Here is a 14,706-nt window from a genome sequence, read left to right on the forward strand (position 1 = left end):
TCATGAGACAGTGTGGCATGTTTGGGCAACACAGATGTGGTTGGGACCACAAAAGTTGTGATCAAGGAAATGTGTTGGAACAATGTCCGCCTTCACAAGATTAAATTTGTTTCCAGTGATGATTTTATTCCACTGGTGGGTTATTTGTCAATATGTTACAGGACTTTTAAAATGTTCATAACCTTTGATCCAGTAACACCTCTTTTGCTAATCTATTCTAAGGAATTCTCATTACAGAAAAACAAGCAAAAGCAAATGAAACTCTACCTACAACGTCACTTTATTTGCCTTTCATTTATAGTAAGAAACAATTGGAAGCACTTAACATACAAGCAGGCCAGGCACCATGGCTCATGCCTGTAATCCCAGCACTTTGGGAGGCCAAGGCAAGTGGATCATGAGGTCAGGAGTTCGAGACGAGCCTGGCCAACGTTGTGAAACCCTGTCTCTACTAAAGATACAAAAAAAATTAGCTGGGCATGGTGGCATGTGCCTGTAATCCCAGCTACCTGGGAGGCTGAGGCAGGAGAATAACTAGAATCCAGGAAGCAGAGGTTGCGGTGGGCCGAGATCACGCCATTGCACTCCAGCCTGGGCGACAAGGCGAGACTCCACCTCAAACAAAACAAAACAAAACAATACAAAACAAAAAAACAAGCATATCAAGGGAATGATTTAATACATGTTGATACATCCACAAGATGTATTGTGCCGCAACTAAAATTATGTTTACAGAATCTTTGACGTGGGAGGAAAGAAAACTTGGGAAGTATCATTAGGTTCAAAAACCAAAATACAAAACTGCTCACACCCTTCCACTTCAACTTAAACAAAAAGTATATTACAACCTGGAAGGAAGTCCACTAAAATGCTATTCTGTTTGTCTGATACAGGATGGTAAATAAATTTACTTTTCTTCTGTGTTTTAATATATTTTTTGGAGTTTCTCTGATGAACCTATTCTATGTGGATGATTTTTTTTTTAAAAAAGTATAATCTGGTGTGGCAGTATGAGCCCAACATATAGTGCATCCCTCCTACCGAATGCTAAGCTAAAACTCTGGGCAGACACACACTCAAGTGCATGCACACCCCACACACAGACAGACAGACACACACACACATTTGAAAAATGTGAAGAGCAAACCAAAGCAGTTGGGTAGGTGGATTGAAGAGAGTCAAAACTTGGAGAGGTGATTTCACTGAGAAGAGTTTCCTACATTAGGTTATTTTTTTCTTCTTAGGCTTTGCCTTGGGACTGGGTTCTAGTCATACTGCAGGGGGTTGGCCAGGCAGGTAGCTAAGAGTCCCGTTGAATTTCCAACCTTCTGGCCAGAGAAACCAGGAAAAGGGACCCCTATGGGGAAATTTTGAAAAAGAGTTCGTTGGGGTTGGTGGTGGTTGTGGTGGTGGTGGTGGTGGTGATTCTCTCCTCAGCTAGTATAAATAGTTTGGTACATAATAGGTGCTCAATAAATACTTGTTGACTAAATGAATTAAATTTTTGAGAAAAAAATCCACCTTGGAGATTGACACACTATCTTCCAGGTAGACCAATGCAGCCTTCTTTCCAGTACAGGACAAGTTCTGTTTCTCCACTGGACACCAGAGGAAGTAGTTTGCATTTAGGAGGGTTTCATCTGAAAAATAGGGAAACTCCTATGTTTACACACTAGAGTCCTCTTCAGTGCAATGAGCATTCACAGTATGAGAGGCTGAGGAACTGAAAACAGGTGAAGAGACAGCTGAATTCTCTTTCTCTCTGTGTATTGATTCTGGAGCATTTGCGTAGTGAGTGGAATTTTAGGTGGGTTTTTTTTTTTTTTTTACAATCACATAATTCATTCCTCTGACTCTTTGTCCCTCCTCTTTTCTTTTCTTTTTTCTTTTCTTTTCCTTTTGCTTTTCTTTTCTTGAGACGGCATCTCGCTCTGTTGCCCAGGCTGGAGTGCATTGGTGTGATCTCGGCTCACTGCAACATCCGCCTGCTGGATTCAAGCAATTCCCTGCCTCAGCCTCCCGATTAGCAGGAATTACAGGTGCCTGCCACCACAGCCACCCAGCTAATTTTTGTATTTTTAGTAGAGACGGGGTTTCACCATCTTGGACAGGCTGGTCTTGACTCCCTGACCTCGTGATCCACCCACCTTGGCCTCCCAAAGTGCTGGGATTACAGACATGAGCCACCGCGCCCAGCCCCTCTTTTTCTTTTTATCTCTTTCTCTTCCTTCATTCCCCGGGTATGTAGTTAAGGCCATGGTTGTGAAGTATCCGCATGATGCATCTCCACTATACACCGTGCTTGTGGCAATGGAGGAGGCAAAGGACCACAGAGGAAGGACCCTTAGGTGGAAAAGCCAACTCTGTCCATGCCCCACCTGTAAATGTTTGTGTTGCAGAACTTTCCCCTTAGTTCAGCTAAAACTGAGTTCTTGTCAAACAACCAGGAAAGACTGGGCTCACAGCCACATAAAAGGGTGAGAAACAGAAGTTATTGGACAAAAAGGAATAATAACTCTCAGCAAAGCGAGAAAGGGTCCTGCTTGCAGGTCTCCCGCCTCATAGATTGAATCCCAGGTTACCACAGAAACAAGAGAGGCCAGGCTCCTCCCCACTGCAAAGGGCACAAACTTCCTTAGGCTCCACCCCATCCTCCCAGTGCACAGGTGGGCATTATATAGAAAGAGTTGGTCGGGAAAGGGTGGGCTTCATCCAGGACCAGCAGTCCAGTTTTTCAGCCTTCAGGCTATTTTAGGCTCGAAGGCAGGGTTTTGCTGGGGACCCTTGGCTGTCTCTTGTCTGTATCACTTAGGCTTTGCAGTTAGAACACATCAGGCCAGTCTCTGCATTTATTTGCCTTATCACAAGCCTAGAGAATGTGTACCCATCCCTAGGAGAGTCCTCAGTAAATGACTGATGGGAGCTGGGATATAAATCCCCCAGCTCCCTTGCCCTTCCGAGTCACAGGTTCTGCCCTGCCTCCTGGAATTCTCCAGTGGGAATGTACTTGTTAATGCTTCCCTCATCAGCTCCCTTCCCCTCCCTGCCTCACTTCCTCATTCTCCTGCCCACATTTCCTGGGATGACCCACCAATAAAGTACTTGCTGTTAAATCCTCAATCTTAGGGTCTGCTCCTGGGGAGCACAGACTAAGAGTATTGAGGTCCTGGTTGTCCTGATTCTACTATCCAGTGGGCTCATGTACAAAAAGGAAACCAGAAGTCACGAGGATCCCTCAGGTGGCCTACAGTAAAGCAGGGAAAAGATGAGGATCATAGCAGGGAATGTGGTCATAAAGAGGGAAGGGATGGATTCCTGGGAAATTTTCCCAGGTGGAATCTGTAGGACTTGGCAACCGCTCGTGAGTGCAGTATGGTGGGAACCAAAGAAGCCTTTCATACGATGTGAGTGTCTAACCCCTCAACTGCTGAGAAAAGGGATGCAGGAAACCCCATGGCTTTGGAAGGAGTAAGTGGGAAGGGCCGGATTTTCAGTTAAGTTTAGGATATGTTGAGTTTTAGGTGCCTGTGGATAGTCATGTATCATTTATGGTGACAGTGCCACAGGGAAGGTATGTGTCAAACCCCTAATAAATACCCACTGAATTGAAAATAATTCTTTTTCCAAGTGCGGGTTTTCTAACAGGGGCCAGCCAGACATTTATGAGCTCAGGCAGATGAGGAAAGCATGATACCTGGATCACGTGTGCTCACATCTGGAATACATGCGCAAATTAACACAGCTGTGGAGGCAGGAGTACATATGTGTATTAGAAAAACAAGCCCCACCTGTAGAGCGCTGCAAGATGCCTCCAGCTGGTCACAAGTAGCTATTGAACATGAATATTTTATCAGTGCCAGAGCAGATAGAGGGAAACTGTATCCATTATATTCTCATCACCATCACATGTGGTTGAACGGGCTTCCGACTAAAGAATCTAAACATGTTTAAAACATTTTTCACCTCCAGTAAAACTAGCAAGTCTTGATTTGTGTTGTTATTGCTCCTGCTAGATTCGTGAAATATTTCAGAGGCAATTGCATCTTGGAAGTGTGGTTTGGCAAATTTTCATCCAAAGCGTATGTTTTTGTTTTATTTTTTAACTAGCGGTTCAAACGTGGGGAAGTTGACATTTTAGAGCAAATGGTAGAATATGTGGGGTTATTTTCTGTTGCTGTTTCATTTTTAGGTTCAACTTTTCAAATATAGAGCTGGATTAAGTCTCACTAGTAGCAGAAAACAAAGTCTGTTTAAGTAAATGTGTTTTCAGGATGGCCCAACTGTACAGAAACTTGCAGATCTCACGTTCTGATCACTCCATCAACTGCTGCTTCTTTAAAATACTCAAGAGTCACTTACGATGTTTAATTGGCATGTCTGTCTTTCAAAATGAAAAGCTACAGGGTAGCTTGTGTTAACCACACAACAGCTGGTTTTGGTCACTTGGTAGGTGACAATCCAGTGACCACAACCAAGGAGGATTTAACAAGGGATTTTATGCCTTGCAATGCGGAAGAGCACTGGGGAAAGTTCCCGAAGGGGTGCCTCCCAGAACACAAATGAAAACAGGGCTTTTACTGGGCTGGCGAGCTGAGTCACTGTATGTAGAGGTGTAGTGAAGGCAGCACATGCTCAGTCACCGATCATGCTGCTACATACTTGTACATACTTACTGTCTATACATTACTCACTCATGTATAGGCAGTGGTGAATAAGCTCCTCCCTGGGCCTGGTTAGTAGTATGGTAATACAGATAGATAACCGAAGTACATTTCCAACTCAGACATCTCTGGATCCAACCAGCTTTTGTTTTGCCAGGGTCGGGCTTCTTTCTGAAATTTTTGAAACAAAAAAAACCAAGGTGTGACAGTTACAAGGGGCTACTTCTTCACAGTGCATACCCCAAAACCTTGGGACCCTGGAGCATACCCCCAAAACCCTGGGACCTTGGGTTAGACTTGGACTTTTCCTGTTTTCTTGTTACTCAGCAACCACCACAATGCCTGGTCCGTGGAAAATGGTCAATAAATATCTGTTGGCTGGATAAATTAATCCCTAAATGTATGTATTAGGTTGTTGCAAAAAAAAAAAAAAAAAAAATTAGCCGGGCGTGGTGTCGGGTGCCTGTAGTCCCAGCTACTCGGGAGGCTGAGGCAGGAGAATGGCGTGAACCCGGGAGGCGGAGCTTGCAGTGAGCCGAGATGACGCCACTGCACTCCAGCCTGGGCGACAGAGCGGGACTCCGTCTCAAAAAAAAAAGAAAAAAATAGAAATGGCAAGGAATAAAATTTGCCTTCAATGTGCTTATGGTCTTGGGAGGAGTAGAGTAAAAAAAATCCCTAATTTCTATTGATATAATATCATTGGATAGTGCCATGATAGAAGAATGTCCCATGTGCAGTGAGAATCTAGAGAGAAAATAAGTGATTACACTTAAAGTAGAGAGTCAGGGAAGACTTCCTGGGAGAGGTGACATTTAGACTAAAGCATAAATAATATTGATTTGTTTGCCAAATGGAGGAAGCAAAGAAGGATCCTGAGTGAAAGCATGATGTGTCTGAGGATTTGCAAGTCGATCATGAGGTTGCAGCATACATCACATGGGAGAGAGTTGCTGACTCTTCAGGAGAGCAGATCATGGTATGCTAGGACAATCAGAGTCTCCACTAGAGCATATGAAGGGCTTAACATAAGGGAGTGTCATAATTACATTTATGTTTGGTCAGAGCACTCAGGCATTGGATTGGAGAATGGAGTTGAGATGAGAAGCAGTGAAGCACTTGCTGTAGCCATCATAAAAACCTGGATCATATCAATAGATCGTCATAACTTGGCTTCAACAAGAATTCATAAAACCAACTCCTCTCTATTTCATAGTTTCATCATTTTATGGAATATCAAAAACCTAAAGAGAAAGAGAAATAAAAATAAACTATATGAACTTCTCCCTGATGAAGCATTCAGTCTTGTTTTCCTGGATCTCATGCATGTTAAATACATATTTAGATCTAAGCCACTATATCAAGGAAGTGAAAAACTCTTATTCCTTAAATATCAATATGTGCACAAATTTTCTTATACCCACATAATTTTAGTAAAACTTTGGAGAAAAAAGTTTCCAGAGTTCTAGGGCTTTGTTCCATTTTTGGAAACAGTAATTTTAGAACTCTCTGCTTTGCTTTACTTATTCATTTTATCTCCCGCTGGGTTTCCTTCTTGATTTCTATACCTTTGTGTCTGCATTAATTAATTTTTCTTTCATTTATTCACACATGCAACCATTGTGTATTTGGTCTATGTATCAGTTAGGGCAGGCTAATTACTCTAGCAAACCAGCAGTTAACAAGAAACCAATCCCGTTGGCAGGGAACTGCACTGTGTGAAGACATTCAGAGATCCAGGCTCCATCTATCCTAAAGCAAGCAAACAGGCTTTGAGAGGGAGACAGAGACAGAGACACAGAAAGACAGAGAGAAAAAGAGAGAGGAAGTTCTTGGTGATTAGAAATTTGTGTTTCTGTGCGGTATGTGTATACACAGGTGGTATTTTTCTATTTGGAGGGCTTAATGTGTTTTTAGGTGTTTGTGGGTTAGGAGTTAGAAGAAATAGCCAAAAAGGAGGTGTAATTAACCCTTTATCTCTTTCTCTTGATGGGTAATGTGGTTACTTCCTTTTTGTTAGTTTCCCCATAATATTATAGTAAATACCTGAGTGTATTATGTGTGTGTATTTTGATTATTTCTCTGCACTGTGTTCCTAGTAGTTAAATTACTTAGTCAAAAAGCATGAACACTTTAAAGGCTATCAAACATAGTTACATTGTTTTTCAGTAAAATATCTGTACCTTTTTCTTTAGCATCGAGGTATCTATTTACCAGACCTTCGTGAGCACCGTGCAGTTTATTTTTTAAAAATATTTCTCAACTTTATAGTCAGTATATTTGGCTATTAGGATAATTTCAGGATATTTGAGGAGGAACTTTAAGACCGGCTTATAAATTACAGCACTTATAAAGGAGGAAAACATGTGGAACTCATGTCTGGTACACATGATTCTAGGAACTGGTGGTGTTTGGATGGCAGAAGTTACAAGGAACGCAAAAGCAGGGAGCGTGAGCCAACACCAGATTGACCTCAGGCAGCTGATGCTATCGAAGGAAAAAGGGAGGACTTCCATGCAACTCCAGAAAACAAAACCAAGACACCTGCGGTAGATTCTGGTTTAACAAAAGGGAGAATTTTCTAAAAATTTTCTATAGATTTGGTTACTTCACAAAGCATTGAGCACCCCAGGATAAAAGAATCCAACTGAGAGTGGCAGCTTTACTCTTATTAGAGAGAAGATTTCTCTATTAAAGACAAAATCAAAGCGAAATCACCAACATCTTACTCATTTACTTATTAGACACAATCGTGGAGCAAATACTCTGCACCAGCTACTGTGCTAACTCCGTTACCTGGATTACTCAAATTCTTACAATAACTCTATATTTATTTCATAATTGCTTTATTTAGTAATATTTTAAGTGCTTTTTAGACACCTGCTCTATGCCTGTCTTGTGCTAGGCACCAGGGGGCGTAGCAGCAGACCAGGAAAATGTAGAGTCTGCCCTTACGGAGCTGGGAGCCTTGCATGAAAGACTGGCACTGACGACACAGTGGCACTGAATGAACGTGTGATCAGAAGCTGAGACAGGGCTCTAGGGGAAAAAGGCAAAGTGCAGCCAATCCTCATAGCAAAAGAGACCGAGGAAGCCTAGAAGTGGTGCTTGAGTGGAGAGTAGAAGGATGGGTGGGGGGTTAACCAGGCACAAGAGGGGAGGGACGGGAAGGGAAGTCACAAGGTGAGAAGCCCTCAGACAAGCACCTGCAATTGGAGGGTGCGTGCAGCTGAGAAGCAGAGCCAGGAGGACAGTGATAGCACTTGAGGTCAGAGTGGTCATCGGGATCCAAGCCTGCTGGATCTTCCTGGCCTTAGGAAACCCAGAGGCTTCATCCTTTGGCAAGGGGAAGCCTATATACCCTGTAGGCTTAATGACGGGGAGAAGAATGTTTGTAAAAGATCTCGCTGGCTGCTGAAGAGAGAACATCTGGAGTTAACTCTCCAATTTCAGACTCCCCTGATGAAAACTGTTACTTCTGTTCTCCACTCCCTTATTTGGGCAAAGCAGTTTATTTTCTACCCGAAGCATATCTACTAATAGAAATGACTGAGATATTCATTACGTTAGGAATGTAATGTAATGATTCTTAGATGGTGATTCAGATGATTAGTTATTGGACCTTCGATGCATTTTTTATTTTAATTTTGAGATTGGCCGTCCCCAACGCCTCTGATGTGTGACTTTCATTACTGGAGATGTTGTTTCTGATGTTGCTGGCGGTCCCTACTGAAAAGGATGCATGCATGAAGACTCAAGGCAACAGTGACTTGCACCCATTTCTAACAATGACTTGCACCCATTTCTCCCGTATGGGGGTGCTTGATAAGCACTGAGTGGTGTAATTTACAACAGCTTATTGGCTTGATGCCATCCTATGAATCCACCAACCATCATCTTCTCTGACCCTTTAAAATGACTTCCCTCACACCCCCTGCCATGAGATGATATGAAGAACTAACAACAGATAATTTCTATATCACCACATTTTATTATCAGCATAATTCTATACAGTAAATCTGCAGTGGGTGACTTAGTTTTGCTGATATGTGGCCTCTAGAATATTGGGAAAATAGATACATGGAAATTTAGGGAGCTTGTATCTTGCCTCTCCAACCTTTTAAATTTGCTGCAGAAAGTTGGATATTTGTTGGGTTTTTCTTCCTTAAGTAGGCAAACTTCAGCCCCAGGAGGCAATGAAGCAAACTTTAAATGTAGCCCCAGGTACTTCAAAGCTGGCTGAACCATGTGTTTGATTGCATACAAAATGTGAATTGAGTAGCACAGAACTGTCCTCCTAGCAACTTTGTAGCACAATGAGATCAGCTGCAAGAACGGAATAAATTGGAGATTGGCTTCTGCAGTTCCATTCATTTGCAAAAATTTGCAGACAATTAAGCTGTCCCCCTGCAGTATAGGTAGCTCCTTTTAGCCAGGGGCTGGAGATTTGTTCTCTCTGGGAAAATGTTAAAGCTGTGATTATCTAGTTATACCTGAATAAATGGATCAAAGGACCTCTCCAGCCAAGCACAGACCTCCTTGAAAAGGTAGTCTCCAGCAGCAACCCTGGGGAGGTTTATAGCAAAGTGTTTTTAGAGCAGATGGTTCTGGAGTTACAGAGGCCAAAGAGCTGAATGACTTGGGATGAGTCTTTTACATCTTTTAACTTCAGGAAAACAGCCATGGTGGTTCTGCCAGCAAGTCGTTGAATGGATTAAGTGAGATAATCATACAATGTGTTTAGCACTGTGCCTGGCATGTAATAAATACTCAATAAATGGCAGTATTTTCTATGGCAGACTTGGTGAATCCAGGACTAGGATCCCAGGCAAATCTTAGGGTTATAAAGGTTAGAAGGAACCAGGTTATGTCATCTTGAGTCTAGAATATAAGCTTCAAACTCTCCAAAGGAATAACCCTCAGGTCCTTGAACTCAAACCCGAAGCATCACATCTTTGCGTGAAGCCTGCAAAGGCTCGCTATTGCCTTGGAAGCAAATCCAGTCTTCTTACCTTGACTTACAAGACTGTCCATAATTGGGCTGGGCTGACTGCATGAGTCTCACCTTTCACTGTTCTCCCTTAATTCCCTGCCTGCCTGGAAGACGTATTTCAGCTTCTGCAATGCTTTGCCTTGCTAAAAATATCTCCTCTTAGCAAACAAGTTTGCCCAGAAGTTATGAAAGTAGGAGAGGGAACAAAGATGATAGAGGTTTGTGGTTTGTTTATGAGGTTTTCACTATTTCTCCCTATCACTTTTTCTATTATGCAAAGCCAGGGTCCAGGAGGGCAGAAAGAGGGAATGAGGACAAATTATCTGGACACTGTTTGTCTGTTTGAATGTCAGCGTATTTAGGAGATCCTCCAACAGGTGGCCAGCCCGGGTCAAGCTGCGTCTGGCCTTGTGTTCAGGTGTGCAGGAAGTAGGATCATTCCTCTCAAATCTCACCACTTCCTTCAGTTGGCTGTTAGGGAAGGCTTTTATGCCCTTGGCTGGGTGTGACGGAAAGGGGCAGGGACAGACAAAACTTGGAGTGCGGTCCCAGCTGTAGAATGCCAGTCTGGCAGACATAACAAAAGTGAGCACTTCTTCGCTTTTGGGACACCTTCCCCATTTGGTCTTGACATTGAGCACCATGCTTTGGCAGGTGTCAGAGGTTGGCTCCCGGGAAATAGACCACGCAACCGGGGAGGTGTTATCAGCATCCATACCTCACGGGGAGGGAGGTCAGGGGGATGGGGCGGGGAAGGAGGCTGATGGAGGAGTTGCTGACTGCAGGTAGCTGGAGGCCTCAGCCTTCCTGGGCAGCAGGGATACGGGCAGGGATGTCCCCTGAGCATGGTCCCACCTGGAAGCCAGGGGGCTGACCTTGACACACTCCTGACCAGTCAGTGGATGGCGCTGCAGCCCCTTCTGTTTAGTCTTCACATCAGCAATGAAAGAGGGTGAAGTTCATGGAAATATTGTGGGGACATATCGCATGGTTTCTGTTCATGAAATGTCCAGAAAAGACAAACATATACAGCCAGTGGCTGTGGTAAAGTGGGAATGACTGCTAATGGGCATGAGGTTTCATTTAAGGGTGATGGAGATGTTCTAAAATTATATGTGGTGAGGATTGCACAACTCTGTAAATTTCCTAACAATCACTGTGTTACACACTTAAAACGGGTGAATTTCATGGTACGTAAATTATACCTCAATAATACTTTTAAAATACTGCAGGCGAGAGGGGCTCCAGCCAGAGAAATTGACTCCAACTCTCCCTTTCCACAAATCAAATGCTCAGATTTGCATTGTGGGAGGAGCCTGAGTGTTCACTGCAGGACAATGTAGGTTCTTCAGGGAGTGCAGACCACTTTCACATGCAGCTTCTCATTTCGTTCTGATAACCTAGAGGACGGGCAAATCATCGTAGGACGATGAGCGCTGAGCTACAGTGAATGTAGCTTGTTATCTTACGACAGACCTGGGAGAAGGAGGAAATCCAACTAATTTATTTACTTTTATCCCTTTGAGTCTATTCTCCACAAAGCAGCTATGATCTGTTTTATTGCAACTGGACTCCTCAGCTCAAAACCCTTCCAGGGCTCACTCCTCATGCGGAGTAAAAGCCAGGGCCCTCTCCATGGCCTACGTGCCTCTCCAGGGTCTGACTTCCCTTCACCAGGTCCAGACTGTCTCCTTCACCTCACAGCGCTCACCTTGCCCACGCCAGCAGCTGCCACACTGAAGCTCCGCCATGCCCGGTAGGCTTCTGCTGCTGGCAGTGCCTCCTCCTCCTGCCCCCTTGGCCCATTCTTCCTCCATCTTCCACTGCCATCTCCTCGGTGGACCGCTTCTTGCCTCCCTGTCTAAAACATCAGCACCCTCTCCCCCTGAGCACTTCCAGCCCTCCTCCCTGCTGATCTTTTTTCTCTTGAGCCATATGTGTTCTCTTTCCCTTTCTGTGGTTTGCCCCCTCTCTCTACAATTGAAGCTTCATGAGGGCACTTGCTTCTTTTAGGCACTGCACCATCCGAGATGCCTAGAATTATACCTGGCAGAGAGAAAGGGCTTGGTTGATACGTTTTGAAGAAATGAATGAAAGAATGAATGAATGACTTAGTTAATATGAATCTATTCTCTCGCTCCTTCTCACGTTCTTTTTCTCTTCCTGCCTTCCTGTTTCCCTGGGCCTCCACCCTCCCTTCCCACCCTCAACCCCTCCCCTGCCCCTCACTGTTTCAGGGGTCTCCCCTTTATTTCTGATATGTGTTCTTTGGGGCGAGTGTTGTGGTGCTTCCAGACAGCGTGATACTTGCTTCCCCTGAGATTGGGAAACAGGGAGGAAAGCAAATGAGGTTTTAACCTCAAATGCCCTAAGACAGGAAGATGAAGACCTTGCTTAGCTGCATGAAACCGGAGATCTTTGTGTAGGGATGACAGTCCTCCTCTAATAGAATCCAGCATGCGTGAGGCTCCCTGAAGACACAACACTGCCCCTGTGATGGAAGCAAGGCTGGATGAGGCTGCAGCAGGCCTCGGATGACCTAGGCTAAAGATGCTGCGGATCACTGTCCGGAGACTGCTGTGGGGGGAATCCCACAAGTCACACATGGTCTGGTGTTGGTGGCGGCCCCAGAACCTCACTCTCCTCTGCACACCTCTGCGTGCCTACGTCTGTTCCTGTGACTGAGGGGATTGTGTTCAGCACACTGGAAGTGCGAAGACGTGTGGCATATGTCCGTGGGTCTAGGCAGCTGATGCATGTCTGTTGCATGTACATCTGCTCGTGAGTGTGTGTGTATGTGTGTCTATCAGATGGATTCTGGTGTGTGTGTAAACCCGCATGTGCATAAGTGTGTGCATTTGATGTCACAGAGAACATTTGACATCTGCACGCGTCTAGTAAATCTGGAAAGCTGGAAGGGGCTGCGTGTCTACATGTGTCTGTGTTTCAGATCTGGCCTTAGGCCATCCACAGCCGAATTACTCACTCCTGATACAGACTGAGTGGCTCACCCTCATTTTCTCACTTCCTCCGTCCTGGTGTTAATAAGACTCATCCTTCATTTTTCTACCGTTTCTGCAGTTCTTTAGAGAGTGCAGACCACTTTCACATGCAGCTTCTCATTTCATTCTCATAACCTAGAGGACGGGCACATTATCCTCCTTTACAGATGAGAAAATTTCCTTCAACCCCTCTGTGTCCTGTCTCGAGGGGAGCAGTATTGGGCCTCTTCTCTGAGGCTGATGTAACTGCTGATTCCTCTCACACCTCCTGTGGGCATCTCCTCTGCTCTCTTGCATCTTCATTCATTCTGTGTTTCTTTCTTCACCACTGTGCTTTCTTTCCTCTGACCCCTTCTTCCTCAAGGTCAGCCCCATTCCTTGTCTCCCATTTAACTGAAGAACTTCTTTCCATAGCTCTCCTTTTCTTCTATGCCAGAGTCCTCACTGTCCATGTAATCGCCTAGCACACACCAAAAGCTGCTCTTTCTAAATTCAGCCGTCATCTGTTCATGGTCAAGCCTAGCAGCCTCCGTGATTTTGGAGGAGACCTCTGCCTTGTGTAACGTGGCTGTGCACTGTTCCTTTTTGGAATTCTCCTCTCTGTGCTTCTGGTTTTTCTGCTACGCTGACTAAACTTTCTGTGGCCTTTGCTGAAACTCATCAGATGGTTACGTTCCTCCCTTTTCCCTTTTCCCTCTTCCCATAATCTGGGTTGTGCCATTGTCTCCATGTCTTGCAGCTACTCTTGTATATGAGTGATTGTGACATTTGTCTCCCTCCTGAATGCAATTCCTCATGTCCCCTAGAAATCTCTGCTTCACGTCCAGCAGGCTCCTCAACGTCAACAGGTCTACTCTAGCACTGGTACCCCAAAATGCCTTTTTAAAAGCCTTTGCCCACTTGGTAATGGCAACACCAGAAGTCAAGAGATCTTATTACCTCCCTCCTTTACGCTGATCTTCAGTTCTTTCCCATACACTGCTCTTCTGCCTTTTGTAACTGTCTCTTGAATTGATTACATTATTTTTGTCACCACCATTTTTGTGTTGTCCTTCTCTGAGTTTCTGGCCACGGATTGGCACCCTCACAGGCTTCATGCATGAAATGACAGATGCAAGTACACCACACGCACAAACACAGAGAGTTGTCCCGAAGCAGGGTATATGGATGTCAGTCAAATCATGTATGATGGTTCTTACACGGTCCCAGTCATACAGAAACATATGGCAGAACACACAAACTCATTAGCACAGACTCGATCAAAGGTGGGTACAGCCACAAATATAGAAGTAGACACTTGGCCACAAACACATACTTATAGATATACACATAAATCACAGGCAAAGATAGAAGCAGAGCCACAGGCCCAGAAACGCAGAGCCATGGATAAATATTCACTGAAGTTTCTCCTAATGTCAGACAAAAACTTAAGCATCAGAAGAAGCAGGATGTCCTGACTTCAGTCGTTCCTTAAGATGCCCACCGTGACGGGCCCAGAGAGTCGACATGCACATGGTGACTTCTCTACAATCAATACCTCCAGCAGCCCCCGAACCCTGTCCCTTCCAGGTACTGTTTTTCCCGAATCAGAGCTTCCTGCTTCTTTTCTTGGGCACTTTAGATCCACGGATTAACACAATTGTGCCACTTGCCATACTTCTGGGATGCGCCGTAATAATCAAGGAAATGGATGGGCAGCTGTGGAGTTGATGAGCTGGTGAGCTGGGAGGACACCAGAGGTAGGATGGGGATGGGATTCAGGGAGCTGACCACTCTGGACACCCGTGAGGACAGAAATATCACCCATTTGTGGGTATGAAAACACAAGAAAGCAATTCATGACACTCTATGCAAGGTTCATTATTGATGACACGGTGTGCTTTGTCATTACTTTGGACACATTTAGACATACATTGTCATCATGAACTGAGGCCTATGTTTGCTCTAGGATGAAGCCCATTCACCAGTCCTTTACATCTGCACAAAGTTTACGTCTTTTTAAAGTGTTTCTCTAGACCAGCTCTCATCTGAGGCTCAAGATATTTTTTTA

The 14,706-nt window shown here is 44.5% G+C and overlaps 1 protein-coding gene across 9 annotated transcripts in view, besides 1 other annotated feature; it reads left to right on the forward strand.

Moving 5' to 3' along the window:
- The window catches only part of CDH13 (cadherin 13), a 1,173,672-nt gene that overhangs the window by 478,954 nt on the left and 680,012 nt on the right, over positions 1–14,706 (forward strand). The window lies entirely within an intron of this gene.
- Positions 8,726–9,328: an enhancer, noted in NCBI's record as "NANOG hESC enhancer chr16:83148253-83148855 (GRCh37/hg19 assembly coordinates)". NCBI's record gives its function as "activates a minimal SCP1, AML or CMV promoter by ChIP-STARR-seq in naive H9 embryonic stem cells {active_cell/tissue: H9 hESC(naive)}" and the evidence as "EXISTENCE:reporter gene assay evidence [ECO:0000049][PMID:30033119]".

Source organism: Homo sapiens, chromosome 16 (assembly GCF_000001405.40).
Source record: "Homo sapiens chromosome 16, GRCh38.p14 Primary Assembly".
NCBI lineage: Eukaryota > Metazoa > Chordata > Mammalia > Primates > Hominidae > Homo > Homo sapiens.